Source organism: Homo sapiens, chromosome 9, assembly GCF_000001405.40.
Source record: "Homo sapiens chromosome 9, GRCh38.p14 Primary Assembly".
Lineage (NCBI taxonomy): Eukaryota > Metazoa > Chordata > Mammalia > Primates > Hominidae > Homo > Homo sapiens.
Genome location: NC_000009.12, coordinates 95,523,194 through 95,550,762, shown reverse-complemented (window position 1 = coordinate 95,550,762; position 27,569 = coordinate 95,523,194). Strand labels below are relative to the sequence as shown.

General features: G+C 43.1%; 1 long non-coding RNA gene across 4 annotated transcripts, besides 1 other annotated feature; it reads left to right on the top strand.

Moving 5' to 3' along the window:
• The first annotated feature begins 290 nt into the window (after positions 1 to 290).
• On the top strand, positions 291 to 27,547 carry LOC105376157 (uncharacterized). 4 transcript variants are annotated; one of them, XR_930139.3, is made up of 5 exons: positions 291 to 409; positions 658 to 911; positions 10,549 to 10,760; positions 24,633 to 24,690; positions 27,466 to 27,547. It is a non-coding gene; the product is annotated as an uncharacterized LOC105376157 (long non-coding RNA). The 4 variants fall into 4 exon arrangements; XR_930138.3 differs by lacking the exon at positions 291 to 409 and having other exon boundaries at positions 506 to 911; XR_930141.3 differs by lacking the exons at positions 291 to 409; positions 10,549 to 10,760 and having other exon boundaries at positions 506 to 911.
• Positions 3,221 to 3,390: an enhancer, noted in NCBI's record as "experimental_110687 CRE fragment used in MPRA reporter constructs". NCBI's record gives its function as "activates a minimal promoter by MPRAs in K562 erythroleukemia cells, with activity observed for both the introgressed and non-introgressed 9:98309740 variant alleles {active_cell/tissue: K562}" and the evidence as "EXISTENCE:reporter gene assay evidence [ECO:0000049][PMID:34662402]".
• Positions 27,548 to 27,569: the final 22 nt, after the last annotated feature.

Genomic DNA, 27,569 nt, shown 5'->3' with positions numbered 1-27,569 from the left:
AGGCTGTGTGCTCCTCACCACAATGTGTGGCTGCCTCTTCAAGGCTCTTCTTGTCTCTGCTGTCTGTACCTACAACCAAGAGGTGAAGGAGCTGGAGACAATTCCGAGGGGAAAGCATTTTTGCGTATGAACGACCTCCAGTGCTCTGTTTTCAGTCTTCATTTTCTCAAGCTCTCGGCAGAGTGGATGGCTCCCCTCAGTCCACAGCCTCCTGCTCAGAAAGCTACCAGGTGATCTCCACGGCAATGTTTGTCTTCAAACATTCCAAAAATCTAAGCTGAATAAGACAATTGTACTTGACATGACACTTAAACTCATTCAAAGACACACTGAATTACATCACCACAATCTAATTTTAGAACATTTTCAATGCCCCCCAAAGAAACTCTCTGCAGGCCTGGGCAACATAGTGAGACCCTGCCTCTAGAAAAATTTTTTTGATTAGCTGGGTGTGGTGGCACTCACCTGGGAGGCTGAGGTGGGAGGATCCCAGGAGTTAGAGGCTGCAGTGAGCCATGATCATGCCACTACACTTCAGCCTGGGCAACAGAGCAAGACCCTGTCTCTATTGAAAAAAGTGGTGGGAAGTGGGGGAGAAACCCTGTGCTACAGCAGTCTTCCTGATTCCTGCTTACCCATCTCCTACTCCATCCCCAGACAATCTCTCTATGGATTGGCCTATTCTGACATTTCACATCAGTCATCTGTTGCTTAATGACAGACACACATTTGGAGAAATGTGTCATTAGGCAATTTTCTTCATGTGTACACATCAAAGAGTGTCCTTACACAAACCTAAATGGGACAACCTACTGCAGACCTAGGCTGTATGACAGAACCTATTGCTCCTCGGCTACAAACCTGTACAGCATGCAACTCTACTCAACACTGTAAGAAACTGTAACACAGTGGTAAGTACTTGTGTATCTAAACTTACCAAATACAGAAAAGGTATGATAAGAAAATGGTATAAAAGATAAAAAATAGTACACCTGTGTAGGACACTTACCATGAATAAAGCTTGCAGGACTAGAAGTTGCTTTGGGTGAGCCAGTGAGTGGGTGGAGAGTGAATGGGAAGGCCTAAGGCATGACTCTGCACCACTGTAGACTTCATGAACACTGTACACCTAGGCTACTCTCTATAGAAAAAGTTTTTCTTTCTGAAATAATAAATTAACCTTAACTTACTGTAACCTTTTTACTTTATAACCTTCTCAATTTTTGTCAACTTTTGGACTCCTTTGTAATAACGGTCAGCTTAAAACACAAACACATTGTACAGCTACACAAAAATATTCTTTCTTTATATCCTTATTATACAAGCCTTTCTTTGTTTTCAGTTTTTTTCTTTTTACTTTTTAAACATTTTTGTTAAAAAATAAGACACAAACACAGACATTAGCCTATGCCTACACAGGGTCAGGATCCTCAATATCACCATCTTCCACCACCACACCTTGTCCCACTAGAAGGTCTTCAGGGCAATAACACACACGGAGCTGTCATCTCCTGTGATAGCAATACCTTCTTCCGAGGGACCTGCCTGAGACTGTCTTACAGTTAAATTTTTATAATAAGTAGAGTATACTCTAAAATAACAATAAAAGTATAGTGTATTACATACATAAACCGTAACATAGTCATTTCTTATCATTAGCAAGTATTATATACTATACATAATTGTATGTGCTAGACTTTTATATGACTGCCAGCACACTAGGCTTGTTTATCCCAGCATCACCACAAACTTGTGAGTACTTTGTTGTGCTATGACATTATCACGGCTCCGACATTACTAGGCAATAGGAATTTTCAGTTCCATTATAATCTTTTTTTTTGAAACTGAATCTGGCTCTGTCACCCAGGCTGGAGTGCAGTGGCATGAACTCAGCTCACTTCAACCTCCGCCTGCCAGGTTCAAGTGATTCTCCTGCCTCAGCCTCCCAGGTTCAAGTGATTCTCCTGCCTCAGCCTCCCAAGTAGCTGGCACTACAGGCGCATGCCACCACACCCAGCTAATTTTTATATTTTTAGTAGAGACAGGATTTCACCATGTTGTCCATGCTGGTCTCAAACTCCTGACCTCAAGCTATCCACTCGCTTTGGCCTCCCAAAGTGCTGGGATTATAGGCATGAGCCACCACACCCAGCTGTTCCATTATAATCTTATGAGACCATTATCTATATGCAGTTCATCGTTGACTGGTTGTTATGCACCACATGAGTGTAAACAGAATTATACAATATGTGGCCTTTGCTGTCTAGCTTCTCTTAGTTAGCAAAATGTTTTCAAGGCTCATCTATGCTGTCACATGTGGCAGGACTCCATTGCTTTGCATGGCTGAATAACATTCCATTCCATGGACATACCACAGCTTGTTTATCCATCGATCAGCTGATGAGCATTTGGGCATTTGGGGTTTTTCCACTTTTTGGCTATTATGAACAATGCTGTTCATTATGAACAATGCTGTGAGCATTCAGGGACAACTTTTTTAGTTTTTTGTTTGTGCGCATGTGTGGTCATATGTTTTTTATTTCCCTTAGGTTTATACCTAAAAGTGAAATTGCTGGTCATAGGGTAACTCTATATCTAGTATTTTGAGTAACTGTGAAGCTGCTTTCCAAATTGTCTGCACCCACTTTCAGATCCCACCAGCAATGACTGTGTGAGGATTGCTGTTTCTCCACGTGCTCACCAACACTTGTTATTACAGTCTTTTGATGACAGCCATCTTAGTGGGTGTGAAGTGGGATCTCACTGAAGTTTGATTTGCATTTCCCTAAAGACTAATAATGTTGGGCATCTTTTTTTTTTTTTTTTTTTTTTTTTTTTTTTTTTTTTTTTTGAGACAGAGTCTCGCTCTATCGCCCAGGCTGGAGTGCAGTGGTGCAATCTCGGCTCACTGCAAGCTCCACCTGCTGGGTTCACACCATTCTCCTGCCTCAGCCTCCCAAGTAGCTGGGACTACAGGCACCTGCCATCACACCTGGCTAATTTTTTGTATTTTTAATAGAGACGGGGTTTCACCGTGTTAGCCAGGATGGTCTCGATCTCCTGACCTCATGATCTGCCCATCTCAGCCTCCCAAAGTGCTGGGATTACAGGCGTGAGCCACCATGCCCAGCCTCAATGTTGAGCATCTTTACATGTGCTTATTGACCATTTGTCTATCTTCTCTGAAGAAATGCCTATTGAAATCCTTTTTCAGTAGGTTGTCTTTTTATTACTAAATTGTGTTTTCTAGATATTCTAGATTTAAATCCCTTGTCAGAAATATGATTTGCAAATATCTTCTCCCGCTCTTTGAGTTGTCTTTCTCCCTTTACTGGTGGTACCCTTTGATGAACAAATGTTTTAATTTTAATGAAATCCAATTTAACTCTTTTTTCTTCTCTTGCTTATGCTTTTGGTGTCATTTTTAAGAAAATATCTTCTCACTCAAAGTCAAAAACTCCTGTCTTCTTTGAATGAGTTTTATACTCCTGGCCCGTATGTTGAGGACTATGATTCGTTTGTGTTTTATTTTTGTGGATGGTGTAACAGCAGGTCCAAGTTCTTCAGATGTCCACGTGTTCTGGTACTGTTTATTGAAAAGACCAGTTGTAATGGTTGGAATTACAGGTCAATTTGACTGCTCCAGCAGGTGCTCGGATATTTGATTAGACATTATTCTGGGTGTATCTGTGAGGCTGTTTCTGGATGAAACAACATTTGTATCAATAAACTGAGTAAAGCAAACTGCCCTCCCTACGTGAGCTTTATCCAGTGTGTTGGAAACCTGCTTGAAACAAAAGGCAGAGTAAGGGGAAATTTGCTGTCTCTGCCTGACTCTGCCCGAACACTGATTTTCTCCTGCACTTGGACTAGGGATCAGGCTGGAACTTACACCATTGGCTGTCCTGGTTTTTGGGCCTTCAGACCCCGCCTGGAACTACACACTGGCCCCCCAGGGTCTCCAGCTTGCCAACTGCAGACTGTGAAACTTCTCAGCCTCCATCATTGTGGGAACCAGTCCTTATTTCATACATATCCATCCTATTGGTCTTGTTGGTTCTGTTTCTCTGAAGAGCCCTGACTAACACACCAGTCTTTCCCCTGGATTTATTCATCGTCAAATTCCTATGTCTCAGGTTGGATTTCCTGGGAAGCCGCTGGGTGTTTGAGCACATGGGTGAGGGTGTCTGGGGAGTGCTCACAGCAGCAGTACCCAAAGAAACAAGGCAGAGGGAGAAAGGGGACTGTGGGGAGTCCTGGAGTGGTGATGGCCCATCAGAACAGCCCCAAATTCCCACTTACAGCGGGTCCTGGAGAAGGCGTGCCTATGTCAGGCGGCTTCAGCAGCTGAGGGCAGTTCTCCAGGAGGGCCTCAGCTGAGCTCCCATCAGCCAACACTCCTGGCAGCCTGGAGCAGCAGTGCCCGGCCTCAAATAGGGACCTGGGCCCCACGCTGTAGCATCCACTACACCTCCAGTGTTTACCCAAATCAACGGGAAATTGGGGGAATTTTTAACTAAATCAATCAAGAGACAAAAATCATCCTTTCTGGTCTGTGGGAGGTCTTCCTTAACTGTTTAAGAGCTTTAGCAGGAAAAGCTGAAAAAGAAACAAAAAAAAAAAATTGCCCTCACTAAGTGATGAAAGAATTCTACAGCAGTTGGCAAGAACACTGAGAAGCGAGTGTTTAGATACGAAAACAAAACCTCTAAGGCACTTCCACAAAACACTGGCATTCACAGTGGAGACCCTCACACACGTGGGCAGGCAGGCTGACAGACGGCCAGGAAGACCAGCGGCTTTCAGGACACACAGCTTCGGTTACAGCAGCCAGGGCTTATTTATCCTCTCCATTAGGTGCTGCATTCAAAGGACCTGCATGTGGTTCAATGAAGATCAAAGCACATTCTTTCATAGTAGAAAAACAAAAAAAAAACAGAAAGAATGAACTATTCCAAATATACACATGTTCTGAGTTGTGACTATTTTCCATCCTTTGTTGTAGGAAAATAAGGGAAGACAGGAAAGAACTAGGTGATAGAATCCATTGTGTACGTATCATTGTCAAGACAGAGACACCCCATTCAACACAATGTTAGCCCATCCATGGGTCCAAGCTTTTAGAATTTAAAATCATCAGTGATCGCCTTGCTTAGGATATGTTTTGCTGTGATTACATTTGAGATGTTTGTAAAAGATGATTTCCTTTAAAGAGTTTTCCAGCATATTGAATTGACTTATAAATACCAAAGCATTTTCATAGCGGGTCTCACATCTCACATCTCACTTTTTTCCTGCAGATAATAGCCTATCTCCACAGAAAGCCATATGTAAAGGAAAATAAAAATTATGCACTATGTTCTTGAAATGTCCCCAACAGAAAAGTATTTCCAAATAGTACACATTCAGCGCACAGCCTAACACGTATTAATGGTTGCCTTCTTTGTGCCAGGTATTGGCACTGAGGATCACACAACTAAATCCCAGTTCCTACATTCTTTTTTTTTTTTTTTTTTTTTTGAGAGAGAGAGAGGGTCTGGCTCTGTTGCCCAGGCTAGAGTGCAGTGGTTCGATCACAGCCCACTGCAGCCTTGACCTCCCAGGAGATCCTCCCACCTCAGCCTCCCAAGTAGCTGGGACTACAGGCACGTGCCACCATGACCAGCTTTTTGTGTGTGTGTGTGTGTGTGAAGTTAGGTTCTCACTGTTGCCAGGGCTGGTCTCAAACTCCTGGGTTCAAGCAACCCTCCCAACTTGGCCTCCCAGAATGCTGGGATTATAGGCGTGAGCCGCTGCACCCAGCCTAGTTCCTCCTTTCGGAGTGTAAGGAAGACTGGCAATTCCAATGTTAAGGAAGGTATTCAAAGGTAGCGTGTAAAAAGGACGATGCTTTGGAAACCACCTGCTTACCCCTGCGGAAGAAGGTGGAGGATGAGGAAAGGTTTCGTGGAAGAAACCTTTTTTAAACTAAATCAATTGGACTTAGTTAAGTCTGATTATCTTAACTAAGTTAAGTTATAGGATAAGTGGGAGTTGGATGGGGGAGGAGTCCCAGAAAGGACCGTCCAGGCTTGGGGAATGGTAACTACATACACATACTTGCTGTGTATGAAAGAAAGTGCAGTGAGGAGGAGAAGAACTAGACAGGTAGTCAGAAAACAATTACGGGAGCTCTGAATGGCATGCTAAGGAGCTTGGGGTCATTAAAGAGTCATATGGCCGGACACGCATTTTAGAACGGCTGTTGAGCAACTCCATAGAGGAGGGATTTAAAGGAGACAGTATAGACCTGGGCTTCAATGCATAAGGTGGTTCTTAGAGCAGTCCAGGTGGGAAACAGTGAGGGCCAACTTCATTAGGCAGGGCATGTGGGACCTAGATGATGGGACAAACATGAGAACTATTTCAGAAGCAGTAAGAGACTGGGTACTGCTGGGATTTAGGAGTGAGGGAGAGGGCGAAATTACATATCATTCCATGGTCTCTGGATTGGGCAACTGGCGGGATACACGTATGGGCAGACAGAGAATCCAGTGGAGCATGTCTAGAACAAAAGGATAAGGAGTTTGATTTTAGATATCCAGAGTTGGAGGAAGCCGAGGAATAGGTGAATGTGGGCATGTGTGTCTGAATCTCTGAAGAGAGGCCTGAGCCGAACAGGGACTCGGGAGTCATTCCCATGCTCAGGCATTATAAAGGCATGGATTTGTGTTTGTTTGTATGTGGGTTTTTGGATTTTTGTTTGTTTGTTTGTTTGTTTTGAGACGGAGTCTCATTCTGTTGCCCAGGCTGGAGTACAGTGGCGCGATCTCAGCTCACTGCAAGCTCTGTCTCCTGGGTTCAAGCGATTCTCCTGCCTCAGCCTCCCAAGTAGCTGGGATTACAGGTGCCCACCACCACACCCAGCTAATTTTTGTATTTTTGGGAGAGACAGAGTTTCACAATGTTGGCCAGGCTGGTCTCGAACTCTTGACCTCAGATGATCTGCCCACTTCGGTCTCCCAAAGTCCTGGGATTAAAGGTGTAAGCCACCATGCCCGGCCTATTTTCAACTGATTTTTATGCGCTAAAGTGAACATCATAAATAAATGAGAAATCCACCCAACCACATGCAAACAGAAACCCTGCCTATTTCACCTAATTTTTAAGAACTTCAAAAAAATAAGTTATATAATAATAAAAGGGCGCATCTTGGTTTCCAGATCCATATTCTCGTGCCTACTCAACATCTCCATTTGGATAACTCAAAGGCACTTCAAAATAATTATGTTGAAGATCAAACATGATCTTCCCCCAACTCTTGGTGAATGACACCATCCTCCATGCAGAGTCAAGAGTCAGAAAACTAGGATTCATCCCGGCATCTTCCTCTCCCTCACTTTTCACAGCCATAACACCCCCAGGTCCTGTCAAATTTACATCCTGTGAGCCTCTTGAATGCAGTCACTATCTCTCCCCATCACCCCACACTGGTCCAAGGAACTGCCACCTCTCCCTTGGACATCTGCAATAGCCGACTCATTATTCCATTCCACCGCTTACCCTCTCTGCTCCTCTAGATGCCAGATGCCGATCTGAGCTATTTGTTTGTTTCAAAACACAAATGTGATCACATTTCCCAGCCATGGAGAGCCCTTGTTGGCTCCCTGAGACTCATAGGAGAAAGACCTACCTGTGTACATGGCTGTATGGCGTTCATAGGCATGGCCTCTGCCTCTCTCTCCAGCCTCGTCTGGCTGGCTCTCCCCTGCTCTCTCTGCGCCCAGCAGCCCTTCGCATCCTCAGGCATATTGTGTGCACCTGCTATTCCCTCCACCTGGAACCGTTTTCTCATCAGCCTCCCAAATCCAGCCCAACCCATTTGTCTTAAATAACTCCACTCATCCTCACATCTCAGCTCAAACACCCCTTCCTCAGCCTCGGTTCCATTCCACCAGTAGGTGATTCCATGAAATTCCACTACTATCTCTCAGAGTACGTGATCTCACTTTATAATTACACCCATTCTTCACTGTATAATCATACATTCTTTGTGTAATCAAACAACATCTGTTTGCTTTCCACTGAACCCTAGCCCCCTGTTTTTTGATCACTGATACCCACACCACCCAGCTCTGTGCCAGGCACATGTGTAATAGGTATTCAGTAACTAATTGTTGGAGTGATGGGTGAATATGTGTGGGCATGTGTCTCTATCATGTCCATTTCCAAAGGCTTTGGAATTATTAACCAAAAAATATCTCCCCAAACAGAAGTACTGCATGGTTTTTTTGCTCCTATCTCTCAGTTATTACACAAGCTTAAACAGCATGTGCCTGTACATGCTCCTTGACAAAGTGTTTGGCTATTGTAGATTCATCTGATTTAACTTCCCAAGTTGAACTAAAAAAACTAGAGCAGCTGGCGCAGTGGCTCACGCCTGTAATCCCAGCACTTTGGGAGGCCAAGGCGGGCAGATTGCTTGAGGTCAAGAGGTCGAGACCAGCCTGGGCAACATGGTGAAACCCTATCTCTACTAAACTACAAAAATTAGCCCGACGTGGTGGCAGGCACCTATAATCCCAGCTACTTGGGAGGCTGAGGCAGGATAATCACTTGAACCCAGGAGGTGGAGGTTGTAGTGAGCTGAGACTGCGCCACTGCACTCTAGCCTTGGTGACAGAGTGAGACTCCCTCTCAAAAAAAAAATTAAAAAAACTTGAGCAACACCCATGTAAAAATTTCAGTGAGTCTCTTTCCTTAGATGTACCTCCATTACAAAGAAGAAATCAACTAGAAATGGCAAATGAAATGCTGTTTTATTCTACCCTTTACCATAACACAATATGAACTCTTTTTATTTATTTTTTATTGTATTTACTTTATTTTTTCTGAGATGGAGTCTCACTCTGTCACCGAGGCTGGAGTGCAGTGGTGCAATCTTGGCTCACTGCAACCTCTGCCTCCCGGGTTCAAGCAATTCTCCTGCCTCAGCCTCCCAAGTAGCTGGGATTACAGGTGTGCACCACCATGCCTGGCTAACTTTCATATTTTTAGTAGAGATGGGGTTTCACAGTGTTGGCCAGGCTGGTCTGGAGTGCCTGACCTCAAATGATCCGCCCACCTCAGCCACCCAAAGTGTTGAGATTACAGGCGTGAGACACCATGCCTGGCCTGAACTCTTTTTAAATAAAAAGAAATGTTTTAAAACATTACAGTAAGCAATCTATATATTATGAAAATTTAATCAGGATATTGCAAAGTAAATACTATAGAATTTCAAAAAGGCAAGACAAGCTTTGTAAATATATTTAAATAATTCACAACCATATTTAGTGTTTCACATGGCTATTTCCTCAATCATATAGAGAGAGGAGGTCTTATTGATCTTTTTATTGCCAAGGGATAGGCCCACATGCTTTCTACCCAGTAGCAACAAGTGTTCATCAAATAAATAATTGCCAGCCTCAAAACTTTCACCAAATCTTTCCTTTTTTCAAAAATAAATAGGAGACCAGATGTGATAGCTCATGCCTGTAATCCCAGCACTTTAGGAGGCTGAGGCAGGAGGATCACTTGATGCCAGGAGTGTGAGACCAGCTTGAGCAACATAGTGAGTCCCTGTCTATAAAAAAAATTTTTTTAATTAGCTGGGATGGTGGGCACCTGTAGTCCCAGCTACTCAGGAGGCTGAGGCAGGAGGCTCACTTGAACCCAGGAGTTCAAGGCTGCAGTGAGCTATGATTGCGCCACTGCATTCTAGCCTAGGCAACAGAATGAGGCCCCATCTCAAAAACAAACAAACAAACAAAAAAACAAAAAAGTAAGTAGGAGGCATTCAGTTTAAAACAATATCCACAGGCAGGTGTGGTGGCCCATGACTGTAATCCCAGCACTTGGGAGGCCAAGGTGGGCAGATCGCTTGAGCCCAGGAGTTCGAGACCAGGCTGGGAAACATGGTGAAACCCTGTCTCTACAAAAAATACAAAAAATTAGCCAGGTGTGGTGGTGCATCTGTGGTCCAGCTACTCGGGAGGCTGAGAGGTGGGAGGATCACCTGAGCCTGGGGAGGTCAAGGCTACAGTGAGCCATGATCATGGCACTGCACTGCAGCCTGGGCAACAGAGTAAGACCATATCTTAAAAAACCTAAAAATCCAGAGATTGAATCTCCAACGTTTATAGATATTCTTGTTCCTTTTTTTGCCTCAAAAAAAGATTATGTTTAAAGAGAGAGTTTTGTTGTTTTTGCACAACATTCTAAGACAGGACAACAGAATTCTCTGTTGAAAGGTGAAAAAATATGGCAAATAGAACATCAGAAATCACTGCTGCAGAAGAAACCAACCTATAGGAAAGATGTTTAATATGTTTATTGCCGCAGCACCCGGACAGTTGGTGTTGGATCCAGTGTACTCATTAAGTAAAAACCCTTTATGACTCAGTTGATGACAAGGCCTCATATCTTGCTTGCAAGAAGCTTCCTTGTAGAAGTTTTGGGAATAGGATTCATGTAAATGTCCATGACTGAGTCCAACATTCATAATGGAAATTCTTCCTCATGTTCTAGGTGATTGTCTTAATGTGGGTTTCCCCAGAAGTGGCCCTGAGGAAGGACTTGAGTGCAAGTAGCTTCCTGAGAAGTGGCGAGTGGAAAAATGCAGCAGGGAAGTGGAGAAGAGAGAAGCGGAAGGGAAGACAGTTGCTAAAGCTGCATTATCACAAAAGCCACCCCTGTGGAAAACTGGAGCTCGGTTCCACTGGGGAACTCATGGAGCCAGGGTAAAGCCCGAGAGTCAGTTACTCCAGTCAAGTGGCAGGGGAGCTGGGGTATTTATACATCAGTGGATTCTTGTTTGAAGGTGGCCTCCAGAGTTGTTAATTCCCTAGCTCTTCCAACCTGTTGTGTGAGAGCCACAGAAAGCCCTTGGGCAAAGAAGGGCAGATGCCAGCAGCTGGAAGTCAGGCCTGTGATTTCTGAAGTGGTAGGAAGGGGTAACATATGGGCACCCATAGCATCTGCCATAGGGACAAATCGTTCAAAATTAATTCCCACTTATTTAGTGCTTGCTCTGTGCATAGGCCCTTGCATGTCTTATTTCATTTTCCAACTCATAACAACCCTCTGAGGTGGGTATAGTTGTTAGGAATTTACAACTAAAAAGCAAAGGTAGCTAGCTTTTCCAAGGCTGCACTCCAGTGCACAGCAGAATATATTTGGCTGCAGTCTCAGTTCCGAACCACTACCCTGTACTGGCAGGACTATCCCTGCCCTTCCACAAACACATACAGACCCCCGTTCCATACACAGTGGCGTTGATGCAAGATCAACATGTCCCTCCTATCAGGCACTGTACTCTGCCTTTCCTGATTCTTTCACATTGGCATCAGAGCAGTGCCAATTATTCAACAGTCAGTTGACCAAATACAGGACAACTTTGTGCGGGGTAGCAGAGCTCTATGGGCCTTTGACTGAAACTTCCAAATGAACATTCCATGTGGCCAAGGGCTCAGTGAGAAAGTAGGTTTAATGAATCTCCATGGTGTAAGAGTAAAGGCAGTGCCTGAACCACCCGAGCTTGAATACAATTATAAGGGGGTCATCCCAGTGCTTTGGGGCACAAAGTAACTGTTATCTGAAGTCGGGAAGGAATTTCCTGAAATAGCTGGCAATTGTATAATGAAGCATATCATAAAAGCTTGTTGCCCCGCAGACCCTGGTCACGAAGACAAAATTGGACCAGTTAGGGCATGGATTTAGACCATGAAATTATTTTCAGAGACTTTTCCTCCAATGGAGAAAAAAAAATCCACCTCCCTAAAATAGCCTCCATTTAATAGACCGTTGCAGTTCATAAAAGGCTTTATTTTATGGAACCTGCTGTGTATTCAGAATGAATTTGGACCAACCAAATTCCCAACCTTCTGAGAAAGTACAGTAATGACCTGTTATATAAGTCACAGCATTTTAAATTTTGTCTTGAGAAAACCTGAACTCTTTAAAAGTTAAGTGCTAACTTTTCAGGGTCCTCATTTTTTCTTCTAAATTATGCAAAGAATCTCTGTAGGCTCTTTGTTTCCATGGAAAGCCCACTGCTAAGAAAAAATAAAAAATCATTTTCCCTGTACTCCTTTTTGAAAACTAGACAACTATAAAATGATATTCAAGAGATAATCACACCAAATGCAGTATCAATTTTTTTTTTTTTTTTTTTTTTTGAGACAGAGTCTTGCTCTGTCACCCAGGCTGGAGTGCAATGGCGCAATCTCGGCTCACTGCAACCTCTGCCTCACGATTCAAGCTATTCTCCTGCCTCAGCCTCCTGAATAGCTAGGATTACAGCTACAGCCACCATGCCCAGATAATTTTTGTATTTTTAGTAGAGAGGGGTTTCACCACGTTGGTCAGGCTGGTCTCGAACTCCTGACCTTGTGACCCGCCCACCTTGGCCTCCCAAAGTGCTGGGATTACAGGTGTGAACCACCGCACCCAGCCAGGATCAAATATTTAGGAGAAGAAGCCAGGAGCTTGGCCGACACTAATCCTCCAGTTTTGGCCTGACACTGGTTAATTATCTCTATCATACAAGTTGTCCATCATGGTTCGCATTCTCTTGAGGCAAAAAAAAAAAAAAATGTGAACATACTCCACTCTCTGAAACAATTAATTCAAAGGAATATTGCTGCAAACAGGCATCTAGAACAATTTGGAACTCAAATTAGAGTGTGAAATGTTAGGGTCTTCTGTATTCCAGCAGATACAGTCTCCTGACATCTGCTTTTCTACAGGGAATTTGGTTTCTTGTGCCTTTAGCATAGACATTGTAAAAGCATCAGTTGATTGTAGGATGAAAGCACATTTAAAGTACCGCTGAGAGGAAACCACCAAAAAGAGGGGCCCTGGGAATGACGGGTTCGTAAACCCAGCAATAGGGACTTCTGAGGTTCTGCATTGCCCCTGCCCATTTAAACAACCGACCGCCTCCTTTTCTCCAGCTGAAAGTGGAGAAATGCTTGGAGACGGGCTTTTCTGAAGACCAACTCAAGTATTATCTGTGGTTGGTGCTCATTTTTAAAGGATGCTCTTTCCCTACTAAAACATTTGCCTTGATAAAGCAAGGAGCAGCTCCGACTGTGAGATGTCTAGCTGGAGTTCCTACGACATAATAACTCCTGACCTGTAAAGACCTGGGCAGAGTAAACAAATGTGTGTGAAGGGTTTGTTCCCTGAGGAAAAACTGAAGTACTGCCACTACCATCATCAGGACAATCTTGCGTAAGCATTGTGCCTACCAAATGACATCACTTGTTCCAGCCAGCACAGATTGGGTGACCATAGCACTGGGCTGTGCTAAACAATACTCAGAAATTAAAAAGTTAATTTTTTTAAAAAAAAGCGGGGGATGGAGGATAAAAAGTGGTTTATCTTAGACCTCAAAAAAAAGGTATTTCCGGCTGGGCACGGTGGCTCACGCCTGTAATCCCAGCACTTTGGGATGCTGAGATGGGCAGATCACTTGAGGTCAGGAGTTCGAGACCTGCCTGGCCAACATGGCTAAAACCCATCTCTACTAAAAATACAAAAATTAGCTGGGTCTGGTGGTGCGCGCCCATAATCCCAGCTACTCGGGAGGCTGAGGCAGAGGAATCGCTTGAACCAAGGAGGCAGTTTGTGGTGAGCCAGGATTGCGCCACTGCACTCCAGCCTGGGTGACAGAGTGAGACTCCATCTGAAAATAAAATAAAATAAAATAAAAGTATTTCCTGTCTTCAATCTCAGCAGTTAAGGATCATGCAAAAAATTAGAAATAACATATAGTGATATGGAAAGGCATATTTAAAAATAGTTTAAAACCGAAGATAGATTACTAGTTTTCTATGCCACCTTTTTATAAAGAAAGGGACATATACACATACACATCTAATTATATACAAAACAATCTTAAGAGATAAATAAAGTCCCAAAATGATGGCTGTCTCTGGAGAAGGTCATGAAGGATTTCTTTTTTGTTTTTAACTTTTATTTTAGGTTCAGGGGTACATGTGCAGGTTTGTTATACAGGTAAACTTGTGTCATGGGTGTTTGTTGTATAGATTATTTTTTCACCCTGGTACTAAGTCTAGAACCCAATAGTTTTGTTTGTTTGTTTGTTTGTTTCTGTTTTGTTTTGTTTTGAGACAGAGTCTCAATCTGTTGCCCAGGCTGGAGTACAGTGGTGCAATCTTGGCTCACTGCAACCTCCACCTCCCAGGTTCAAGCGATTCTCATGCCTCAGCCTCCCGAGTAGCTGGGATTACAGGCGTGCACCACTATGCCTGGCTAATTTTTCTGTATTTTTATTAGAGACGGGATTTCACCATGTTGGGCAGGCTGATCTCGAACTCCTGACCTCAGGTGATCTGCCTGCCTCAGCCTCCCAAAGTGCTGGGATTACAACCGTAAGCCACTGTGCCTGGCCCCAGTAGTTATTTTTTCTAATCTTTTCCCTCCTCCTACCCTCCACCCTCAAGTAGGCCGCAGTGATTGTTGTTCCTCTCTTTGTGTCCATGTGTTCTCATCATTTAGCTCCCACTTATAAGTGAGAACATGCAGTACTTAGTTTTCCTGCACAGCTCCATCCATGTTCCTGCAAAGGACATGATCTCATTCTATTTTATGACTTCATAGTAATCCATGGTGTGTATGTGCCATATCTTCCTTACCCAGTCTACCACTGATGGGCATTTAGGATGATTCTATGTCTTTGCTATTGTGAATAGTGCTGCATAAACATATGCCTGCATGTGACTTTATAGTAGAACTATTTCTATTCCTTTGGGTATATAGCCAGTAATGGGATTTCTGGGTCGAATGGTAGTTCTGATTTTAGCTCTTTGAGGAGCCTCCATACTGATTTCCACAATGGTTGAATTAATTTACACTCCCACCAGCAATGTATGTGTTCCCTTTTCTCCATAACTTCACCAGCATCCGTTATTTTTTGACTTTTTAATAATAACCATTCTGACTGGTGTGAGATAATATCTCACCGTGGTTTTTATTTACATTTTCTAATAATCAGTGATATTGAGCTTCTTTTCATATGCTTCTTGGCTCCATGTATGTCTTCTTTTGAAAAGCATTCATGTCCTTTGCCCACTTTTTAATAGGGTGGTTTGTTTTTTTCTTACAGATTTGTTTAATTTCCTTATAGACACTGGATATTAGGCCTTTGTCAGATGCATAGTTTGAAAATATTTTCTCCCATTCTGTAGGTTGTCTGTTTACTCTGTTGATAGTTGTTTTGCTGTACAAAAACTCTTTAATTTATTTAGATCCCATTTGTCAATTTTTGCTTTCCTTGCAATTGCTTTTGGCATCTTCTTCATGTTATCTTTGCCAGTTCCTGTGTCCAGGATGGTATTGCCTAGGTTGTGTTTCAGGGTTTTTATAGTTTTGGGTTTTACATTTAAGTCTTTAGTCCATCTTGAGTTTATTTTTGTAAATGGTGTAAGAAAGGGGTCAGTTTCCATCTTCTGCATATGGCTAGCCAGCTATACTGGCACCGTTTATTGAAGAGAGAATCCTTTCCCATTGTTTGCTTTTGTCAGCTTTGTCGAAGATTAGAGGTTATAGGTATGTGGTCTTATTTCTGGGCTCTGTATTCTGTTCCACTGGTCTATGTGTCTATTTTTGTACCGGTATCATGCTGTTTTGGTTACTATAGCCCTGCAGTATTGTTTGAAATCAGGTAACATGATGCCTCCAGATTTGTTCTTTTTGCTTAGGATTGCCTTGGCTATTTGGGGTCTTTTTTAGTTCCATATGAATTTTAAAATAGTTGTTTCTAGTTCTGTGAAGAATGTCGTTGGTAATTTGACAGGAATAACATTGAATCTATAAATTGCTTTGGGCAGTATGGCCATTTTAATTATACTAATTCTTCCTATCCAGGAGCATAGATTGTTTTTCCATTTGTTTGTGTCATCTCTGATTCCTTTGAATGATGTTTTTTAATTCTTTTTGCAGAGATCTTTCACCTAGTGGAGGATTTGAAGTCAAGGATAGAACAAGGACACTTACTCTTCTTTCTGTACCTTTGGCACTCTTTGACTTTTTGCCATGGATGTGTATTTCTTCCTTTTAAGTACTAAATATTCAGAAATGTACAGCCTCTAGAAAGCAGGAGGAGAAGAACGTAGAATTCGGAATGTGTTGTGCATGAGTAATACCTCTGGACATTGACGGGAGGCTGAGGCTTAATCCTGCAGGGAGACTCTGGGCAACTGCACAGGACATAAGCCTTGGAATTATGCCAACCCAGGCTGGGGGGTCTAGTCGGGGTGTTTATGCACCAACTTCTGAAGGTCCACCACCTGCCACAATTAGACTCCACTGAGAGCTGCTGGGTAGGAAGGGGTTATTGATTCCTCGGCACTGCAAGGTAGTGTGACTTTGGCTGCTGGGAAGGCAAATAGTCCTCAGGCCCAGAGAGAAAGATCTGGGCAGCTGGAAACTTGCACAGCACCCACAGCACCCCTTCAGGCCTCATCCTTTGAGTGCCATGACAGAGTGGCCCACTAACAGGCACTGAGTGCTCCAGCAGATACCCTTGGGACAGCGCCTCACATTCACAGGCCTTGAGTCACACCTGGTAGAGCTTTGCTTGTGCTTTTAGGAGACGTTACAGGGACTTTGTGGAAAATAACAAAGCAATGGAAATGAACAGTGAACCTTGAACAGAAGCAGCAGCTCCATGTGCCATCACCACACCCGGGGTAGACACCACTGCTCAGTCATGCCACTCTCCCCTTTGACCTGACTTGGCTCAGAATCCTCTTCAATAGCAGTCGCTCTCAGGTTATCAAAATCAGCCATTGAAATGTCAACTACTTATCATGTCTTTCCTGGAGGATGCAAACAGTTCCGCCAGACTAGGGAGTATTAGTAACATTTTTTCTTTTTTTAATTGATAAATAAGAAGTGTACATATTTATGGAGTACATGTGGTATTTTGATACATGCATACCATGTATAATGATCAAGTCAGGGTAATTACAATATCTATCACCTCAAACAATGATCATTTCTTTTTATTGGGAGCATTTCTTCTCTTCTAGCTATTTGGAAATATACAATACTGTGTCGGTAACTGTAGGCACCCTGTGACGCTATTGAACACTACGTCTTAGTCCTTCTATCTAATTGTATGTTTGTATCCGTCAACCAACATCCCCCGCTGCTCCCGATTCCCAGCTTCTGGTAGCTATCACTCTATCACCATGAAAACCACTTTTTTAGCTCCCAAATATGAGTGAAAACATGCAATATTTGTCTTTCTGTACCTGGCTTGTTTCACTCATGATGATCTCCAGTTCCAACAATGTTGCTGCAAATGATGGGATCTCATTCTCTTTTATGACTGAATAGTACTCCATTGTGTATAAGAACCACATTTTCTTTATCCATTCATCTCTGGATGGACACTTAGGTTGATTCCATATCTTGACTATTGTGAATAGTGCTGCAATAAACATGGGGGTGCAGGTATCCTTGTAATAAACTGATGTCCTTTCCTTTGGATAAATACCCAGGAGTAGGGTATTATTCCATATGATGCTGGATCATATGGAAGTTCTATTTTTAGTTTTTTGAGAAACTTTCATACTGTTTTCCATAAGGGCTGTACTAATTTAAATTTCCACTAACAGTGTGTAAGAGTTCCCATTTCTCCACATCCCCACCAGCATTTGCTAATTTTTGTCTTTTTGATAACAGCCATTCTAACTGAGGTAAGACGATATCTCGTGTGCCTTGGGTTTGCATTTCCCTGATGATGGGTGATACTGAGCATTTTTCATATACCTGTGGGTCATTTGTATGTATTCTTTTGAGAAATGTCTATTCAGATCTATTGCTCACTTTTTAATGGGATTATTTGTCTTTCACTATTGAGTCATTTGAGTTCCTTGTAAATTCTGGATACTAGTCCTTTGTCATATGAGCAGTTTGCAAATATTTTCTCCCATTCTAGATTGTCTCTTTACTCTGTTGATTGTTTCCTTTGCTGCACAGAAGCTTTTTACTTTAACACAGTCCCATTTGTCTGTTTTTGCTTTTGTTGACTGTGCTTTTGAGGTTTTAGCCATAAATTTTTTGTCTAATGTCCTGAAGTATTTCCCCTATGTTTCCTTCTAGTAGTTTTACAGTGGCAGGTCTTACGTTTAAACATGTTTAAAATAAGTTTTCTTTCTAAGCTTTGGTGTGTTGCCTCAGGCAACAGAGGGCAGGTGGGTAAGGAAGGGAGAGAGAGTATCTACCTGAATATCCTATACTGCCGCCACAGTGACCATAGACTTGTGGCTTACAGCAGCATGAATGTATTCTCTTAGAGTTCTGGAGTTCCGAGTCCAACACACAGCTCACTGAACTAAAATCAAGGTGTCAGCAGGCTGCATTCCTCCCTGTAGACTCCAGGGAGAATCCATTTCCTTGCCTCCTTCAGTGTCTAGAGGCTGCCTGCACTCCTTGGCCGGTGGTCTCCCCCTTCATCTTCAAAGCCAGCAACAATAGGTCAAGTCCCTTTCACATCCCATCACTCTGAGCTCCTTTTCTGCCTCCCTCCACTGTTAAGGACCATTCTGAGTCCATTGGGCCCACCGGGATAAATCTAGGATGATCTCTCCATCTCAGGGTTCCTAGCTATTCACTACCCTGGCAAAGTCCCTTCCCAGGTGAGGATGTGGACGTCTTTGGGGGACCCGTACTTCTACCTACCACAGGTCTTTATCAATAGTATTTATCAATGTCTTAATTTTTCATAAAAGGCACCTAACTCTATGCCATCTCCCTTATTCTTTTTAATCTGTGTAATTTGTGGAACTCTATCAAAGCTATCTATGACTCTTGGCTCATTTGTTCACCTAGAGTTTTACCAGATGTATTCCTCTGACTCCAACTTTAATAATTTTTTAAAAGCATGATTGTGGCACTCTACAGAGACTGATACAGCCAAAATCCTACCCCAAGTTGTTGGTAATTGAGATAAAGTTTTAGAGCTAATCCAATATTTCCATTTAATAAATGAGGAAATAAAAGCTGAGAGATGCTACTCCTGGTCATACAGCTGGTCAGTGGCAGGCCAAAGATTGGATTTGGAGTTTTCAGAGCTCTTTCTATGGCATTGTCTCTGGACAGCTATTCATCCCAGAGAGCAACAGTGCTTTAGTGCTTGCCATTACTATTACTACTACTATTACTATTATTTTACCTGACTCAGATAAACATCCTATAACCCATATCTTGACTATACCTCTTCTTTCATGCTTCAGAACCAAGAATTTATTAGAAATAGTGATGTATCCAACTAAATACTCAATTTCCCAGGCTCCCTTGGAGGTAAGTGTGGCTTTGTGAACAATTCTAGCCAATGAGGTGTAAGCTGAAGGCCAGCCACTGTGAGTGGCTTCTTATAAAAAGGATCAAACTGAAAGTGAGCAAGTGCGTTTTGCAATTCTTCCTTCCCAGAGCATGCCCATGATGCCTGGGTGCTGGTCATCTTTGAAGCATGAGAAAGCACATGCTAAGGCTGGCAGAGTGGAAAGCTACAGAGGGGACTGTGCCTGTGACATCAGAGCCCCTGCACCTTCCCAGGGCCACCTATCTCCAGGCTACTTGGGACATGAGAAAAAGAAACCCTTACTTGTTTTAGGTACTCCGGTCAGAGTTCTGTCAATGCTGCCAAAAGCAATCCTAACTGATGCAGATGGCATCAACAAATGCTGAGGTTCGGAGAAGAGTCTAATTATATGTTTTCAGTCTAATAGGAAAGGATAGAATTATAGCTTGAACTCTCTCTGCCATTCTCATTCATTATCTCCACTGAGTAGGAACTCAGCTTTCTAATTCCAGATTGCATGTAAATTTTCTTTAAGATTTTGAGTTTGTATACTCTTTGTTTTAAATTTCCGAACTTGATTTTCTCTTTTGTTCCAAATTATGAAGCTCTTAACTAATTTTTTTAAAATTGTTGTTTAGACAGGGTTTTGCTCTCTCTCCCAGGCTGGAGTGCAGTGGTGTGATCTCAGCTCACAGCAGCCTCAACTTCCTGGGCTCAGGTGATTCTCCCAACTCAGCCTCCCAAGTAGCTGGGACTACAGACATGCACCACTATGCCCAGCTACTTTTTTTTTTTTTTTTTTTTGGGATAGAGATGGGGTCTCCCTGTCCAAAAGACCAAGTGGTCTCAAACTTGTGGGCTCAAGTGATCCACCTGCCTTGGCCTCCCAAAATTCTGAGATTACAGGTGTGAGCCACCATACTCAGCCTAACTTCTTTTATAGTACATACATCATTGTAGGTTTTAGACCAAAGAGCAATATTCTCCCAGCAAGAGTTCAGTTTAATCATGTTTGATAAAAATTGAGTTGGTATATTAACATTTCTTTAGCTCTAAATTCACCTATTTCCAAGTTCCATATTCACAGAAATATTGTGGAAATACTATAAGAATTTTAATAAATATTTTGGATGCTGCTGATACATTATTTTATATCATTTTTTAATTTTTGTTTTGTTAAAAGATAAAATTTTAAAGGTATTTATGACTCTCATAAAGATATAAAATAAACACCTGTCAAAGATTTTATTGAACTGTAATTAATGAGGGAACTAGTAAGATGTTACAACAGAGTCAGAGGTGAATTGAAGTATCATACTGATGGTCTGATAAGGAAGTGTTGAAATGAATTTACAAGTGGATGCAAAAACTGGCAAAACTGGTCACTGTACACCAAAATAATCAGTTTTGTTTCACTAGAATATTTTTGCATTTTTATAGACAAGAATCGTTTGTGTTACTATCCATTTTCTATGACTTGCAGTTATAAAGTAGCTCAAGGAAATGAAAGTGTGAATGAATTTAATTCTCACTGAATTAAATTATCTCCCTTGTCGGATATTACATTCCTGTATTTACTAGGATCTATTTCTGTGTTCTCTATTCCATTGACTCAACTATTTGACTTTCCTTATGGCTAGGAATAGCCAGACAAAACTCTAAAAGTAAGCTGGAGGATAAGCATGAATTCAGGCTGTCTAGAGAATCTGTCTCTAGGTCCTTAGAGGAAGACAAATAGAATGAAGGAGGACTGAATACGTGTGAATAGTTTGGGGTAAGGAAATACAGCCAGTTATGGTGACACGGAATTTTGAATTTTGGGGAGGTAGCTACATGATGCTGGCTAATTGGCTGTTGAATGAGAAGTCAGGCAAGGCAGTGGATCAAAAGATCACTCATTTAAAAGGAGAAAAGACCTAGCAGTAAGACGAGAAAAACAAATGCAAGATCTGGGCCATCAGTGCCAACTTCCTGATACTAAGACCAATTTCTATCCCATTCGGAGGGCATCTGATGGTCTTCCTGATGGGAAAGGAAACTGTCTCAGGCTATGTGTGAGTCAGGTGACTGACTGCAGCTGGGAGAGACAAGGGCTTGGCTAAGGGACGCCCCATCCGCTAGCTACAGTGGCTGCATTCACAATGCAATTCCATCTCCCCTTTCTCCTTATGCCAGATGGAGACTAGTGGTTCTCAAATTGGAGCAGGCACCAGAATCACCTGGAGAACTCACACAGATTTCTGGGCCCCACTCCCAGAGATTCTGACTCAATAGATCTTGGCGGGGGTGGGTGCTGAGAATTTGCATTTCTAACAAGTTCCCAAGTGAGGCTGCTGCTGCTGCTGCTCCAGGGACCACATTCTGAGAACCACTTCTGTAGACTTTTTTTTTTTTTTTTTTTTGAGATGGAGTCTCCTCCTGTTGCCCAGGCTGGAATGCAGTGGCGTGATCTCGGCTCACTACAACCTCCGCCTCCCAGGTCCAAGTGATTCTCCTGCTTCAGCTTCCCAAGTAGCTGGGATTACAAGCGCCTGCCACCATGCCCAGCTAATTTTTGTATTTTTAGTAGAGTCGGGGTTTCACCATACTGGCCAGGCGGGTCTCAAACTCCAGACCTTAGGCAATCCGCCTGCCTCAGCCTCCCAAAGTGCTGGGATTACAGTCGTGAACCACTGCGCCCGGCCACTTCTCTAGACTTTCACACCTAAATGACTACTAATACATTAGAGATTTAAATGTGATAAGAGAAAGCCTCATTTGTGAAGTCCCTCTGACTCTCTCATGTAGAGTTGATGAGCCCCCATATGCACTGATGAAGTGGCATTTGAGCCATGTGCATCTTAAAGGATACGTGTAAAGTAGAAGATGCAGGAAGTAGGTGAAGGGAAGGACAACGAACAGGTGTGGGAGAGTGAGAAAGTCATAAAACTGCACATCATTCTGTTTCTTCACTAAGGAAGAGTGGCAGGGTGTGGAGACACGCTGGAGAGGAATGCAACAAACAAACTTACCAGGGGCCTTGCAAAACACCCCTGAGAATGTGGACATGGTGCCTGACAAACTCCTTTGGGAACAGAGCAGGAGCTGTCAACGGTGCTGCAGAATTGCTGGCTGTGTATCTTGTGATGGGAAGAGCCATTAATTGAGTCAGAAGAGCAGGTGTGGGGTGTGAAGACGTGATCCTGAATTCAGGTGGAGGAGGCGGGGCAGGGACATGTCAGATCCCCCATAGATCTGAAGCTCAGGGTAGACAGCTGGGAGGAGACGTGGGTAACAGTGGGCTTACCGTCCAGCCTCAAGAGTAAACAATAAGTCAGCAGAAGGAAATGAGGCAGCGCTGGGACCCCAGAAACACCCAATTTGAAGGAGTAGGTGGAAGAACAGGAACCAGTGGAGAGATTGGAAGGAATAGTCAGAGAAGTAGGGCAACAGAGGCCAAGAGAAGCTTGCCACCAGGAGCTGCAGGATGCGAGCACTCCATCGATGAATGTCAGGGCAGTCCTGCCGGTGAGATGGCTGGAGCCCCTGGGGCAGCATCTCCAGCCACAGGGCAGCTTTCCCCAGAACTCTGTGAGTGCAGGTCAGACCAAATTAGAACCTCACTGTTATTTTGAAATGCTTGCTTTGAAAAAGTTCCGCGGTGTTATGTGTTGACTTGTGTCCGCCAAAAAAGAAATGTTGAAGTCCTAACCCTCTGCACTTCAGGATATGACTTTACTTGAAAATAGGGTTGTGGCAGATGTAATCAGTTAAGGTGAGGTCACACTGGAGTAGGTGGGTTCCTAATCCAGGAAGATTGATGCCCTAATATGAAGAGGTGGGGACACACAGGGAGAGCTCCATGTGAAGACAGAGATGGAGACTGGAGAACATCTACAAGCCGAGGAACACCAACCATCAACAGCGGTCACCAGAAGTTAGGAGAGCAGCCTGGAATAGATCCCCCCTTGGAGCCCTCAGAAGAAACCAACTCTGGCAACACCTTGATTTCAGATTTCTTGCCTGCAGAACTGTGAGAGAATATATTTGCTTTAAGCCACTAGTGACTGGTTCTTTATTATGGAAGTCCTGAGAAACAAATGTACATGGAAAACTAGAAATCCATTCGTTATTAAAGTCATACTCAGAGACTGCATGCTGCCATTTTAGGCATTAAAAAATTGATATTCATGGAAGGAAGTTTAGGGTTCTCAATCAAAGACTTGAAAAGCTTTTATTTGGAAGTTTTATATGAATTTCATATTTAATATTTTTTCTAATGCTTTGCATCTTTAAAAACTTTATAATATAAAAGATATAAATTATCTACTAAATCCCCCCATAGATAAGTGCTTCAAACCTCTTCCAGTTTATTCCAGTGTGCATAGCAATATTATTATTCTTTCTATGTGTACCATGACATAAAAAGTTGGAAAGCACTAGAAACTCTAGAAGAGAGGGTGTTAAGAAGTGATTAGGGGAGCCAAATAGAATTGTATGTCTGCGTAAGTGGGGCTGGGAAGGCGTGCATGTCTGCATGGTCAGAAGGGGTCACAGAAATGAATGGGACGATCCGTGAGGGTGGGTGGGTGGCTGTTTCAAATCACAAAGCTTAAACAGAAGTGTTCACCTGTATAAGCAAATAACGAGCTGCAATGTGTGAGCCACCTTCTCCTTTGCTTCCTCCTGGCCAATGCTATCTGTAACTGAATATTTCTGAAGAAGTCTGTCACTTTACGTGACTTCATCATAAAACTTCCTATTGATGTGCCAATTGACAAGAGAGTTAAGGTCACAATTTTATGGATTTTCACTACCATATACATTTATAACTCCTTCTAGTATTTGTAGTAAATAAGTAACATTGCCTTATACACAAGGCACCACTGCAATGTCATTATAAAATGACCCCATTAAAGGGTTGACTTATATATGCAGAATTTTTTTTTTTTTTTTTGAGATGGAGTCTCACTCTGTTGCCCAGGCTGGAGTGCAATGTCGCCATCTCGGCTCACTGCAACCTCTGCCTCCTGGGTTCAAGCGATTCTCCTGCCTCTGTCTGTTGGGTAGTTGGGATTACAGGCGCCCACCACCACGCCCAGCTAATATTTGTATTTTTGGTAGAGACAGGGTTTTGCCATGTTGGCCAGGCTGGTCTCAAACTCCTGACCTTAGCTGATCCACCCGCCTCCCCCTAAATATGCAGATTTTTAAAAAACCACGTTGGGGCTCATAAAGTAACATTGCATTTGCACATTTTCTAACATTAAGCTTTGTATGGCTTAAATCTCTGTAGGAATGGGCTTTCCTCGTTCCCTTGGAGGAGACTGCGTGGGTTTCTAGACTATACTAAGGTTGGTGAGTTGATATGCAGTAAGCATGAAGTCAGTTACTCCCGACGCCAGGGCCTGGGGCCAAGGAAGGGGCTGTGTTCTGGATACTCCCCACTCTCACCGCCTGTCCCGGGGGAATGCCCTTGTCTCGTTTTTTGTTTTGTTTTGTTTGTTTGTTTTGAGACAGAGTCTCACATTGTCATGCAGGCTGGAGTGCAGTGGTGTGATCTCGGCTCACTGCAAGCTCCGCCTCCCTGGTTCAAGCGATTCTCCTGCCTCAGCCTCTCGAGTAGCTGGGACTACAGGCGCCCACCACCACGCCCGGCTAATTTTTTGTATTTTTAGTAGAGACGGTGTTTCACCGTGTTAGCCAGGATGGTCTCGATCTCCTGACCTCATGATCCGGCCGCCTGGGCCTCCTACCGCGCCCGGCCTTGTCTCTCCCTTTGACCTGGTCAGTAGCCCCTCCTCCTCTTCTCCAGCAAGCCCCTCCCCACTTCATGCAGTCTCAGGAGTCAGGACCCAGGCACACTTCCCACTGAGCTCCCACGGTATTTTCTGTGTGCGGCGGCCTCCGCCTTTCTCAAAGTATAGTTTCATGTTCTCCTTCACTCCTTCACTCCCCACCGGACTCTGCATTGATCCGGGACTAGGATGGCATATTTAAAATAAAAATGTATGAAACAGAACATACGATAAAAAGTGTTATCACCTGTATGCACATTTTAAAGAACAATAATAAAATAAATACTTAATGGAGCTTCTCCTCCCTTCACCTCCTGCATTCCAAGACATAACTGCTTCCCTGAATGGGTTTTTCACTCCCTTTTTAAAATAAGTATTACTCTATACAAATGGAATTTATGAATGCATTCTGGTTTTTTGTTTGTTTGTTTGTTTGTTTTTGAGACAGAGTCTCGCTCTGTTGCCCAGGCTGGAGTGCAGTGGCCAGATCTCTGCTCACTGCAAGCTCCATCTCCCAGGTTCAAGTAATTCCCCTGCCTCAGCCTCCCGAGTATCTGGGACTACAAGCATGCGCCACCATGCCCAGCTAATTTTTGTATTAGTAGAGACGGGGTTTTACCATGTTGGCCAGGATGGTCTCGATCTCTTGACCTCGTGATCCACCCACCTCGGCCTCCCAAAGTGCTGGGATTACAGGCGTGAGCCAGCGTGCCTGGCCATGAATGCATTCTTATGACACTTGCTTCTGACCTAGGTATTTCACCCAAGATTATGTTTGTGCGGTTCATCTGTGTTGCTGTAAGGTGGCTGTGGCTTGTTGCTTTTCACTTCTTTGTAGAATTGCATTGCAGAAATTCTCTACTGTTTATGTTTTCTACGCTGATGCACATTGTGGTCATATCCAGTTTTATGTTTCTACAAGCAGTGGTGCTGTGGACATTCTGGTGTGCATCTCCTGAGCCCCAGGGAGAACAGTTTTCTCTTGGAGAGACCCCTAGAAGGGGAATTCAACCTTTCCAGAGAATCCCAAGTTGTTTTCCAGAAGTGATTAAACCAATCTATGCTCAAGGAAGTCATGCGCAAACGTTTCCATTGTTTCACAATCTTGCTCATCTTTGCTGCAGTCAGACTTCTCAATTTTGACAATCTGATGGGGATAAAATGGTATTTCACAGTATTTTAAAAGAAAATAGCCTTTTTGTTCCCAAATTCCCATCACCTAGCAGAGGATGATGCATTTAAAAGCTCACAAACCTTGTATTTGGTGAATGAACAGCAATAATGTAATGTGACAAATGCTGTAACAGAGAACAGCATCAAGAAGATATTCACCAAATAACCAAGTGTCCCTTAGGTCCTCAAATCCAGTTGCACAGCAGAATAATTCAGGTATCCTTTTATTTTCTTTTTGACATTTTATTATGAAAAATTTTAGGCCGGGTGCTGTGACTCACACCTGTAATTCCATCACTTTGGGAGGCCAAGGTGGGTGGATCACAAGGTCAGGAGTTCGAGACCAGCCTGACCAACATGTTGAAACCCCGTCTCTACTAAAAATACAAAAATTAGCCAGGCTTGGTGGCATGCACCTGTAATCCCAGCTACTCAGGACGCTGAGGCAGGAGAATCGCTTGAACCCAGGAGGCGGAGGTTGCAGTGAGCTGAGATCATGCCACTGCACTCCAGCCTGGGCAACAGAGCAGGACTCCATCTCAAAAAAAAAAAAAAAAAAAAAAAAAAAAGAGAGAGAGAGAGAAAAGAAAAAAGAAAAATTTCAAACATACAGCAAAGTCGGAAGAATTTTTCAGTGAACACCGTATACCCACTCCTAGATCCTACCATTAGCATTTTACTGTACTTGCTGTAGTAGTCTGTTCTCACTCTGCTAATAAAGACATACCTGAGACTGGGTAATTTATAAAAGAAATAGGTTTAATTGAGTCACAGTTCCACATGGCTGGGGAGGCCTCACAATCATGGCAGAAGGCAAGTGAGAAGCAAAGTCACATCTTACATGGTGGCAGGCAAGAGCAAGTGCAGGGAAACTTGCCTTTATAAAACCCATCAGATCTGGTGAGATTTATTCACTACCATGAGAACAGCACGGGAAAGACTCACCCCCTTGATTCAATTATCTCCCACCGGGTCGTGGGAATCATGGGAGCTACAATTCAAGATGAGATTTGGGTGGGGACACAGCCAAACCATATCACTTGCTTTAGGGGGATTATTTTTAAAAATACTGATTCCCCAGGGCTGAGAAGTTGATTCTACAGTTCTAGGATGGGGTCAAAGAATCTATTTTTGTTTCTTTGTTTTTAAACTCCCCAGGTGATTCTGATGAACAGCAGCCTTGGAAACGACTGCCTTAGGGGACTTGCTGCTATAAATAAAGAAGACAGATTTGTAATTAGCCTAGCAGTGTTCATTCTTTG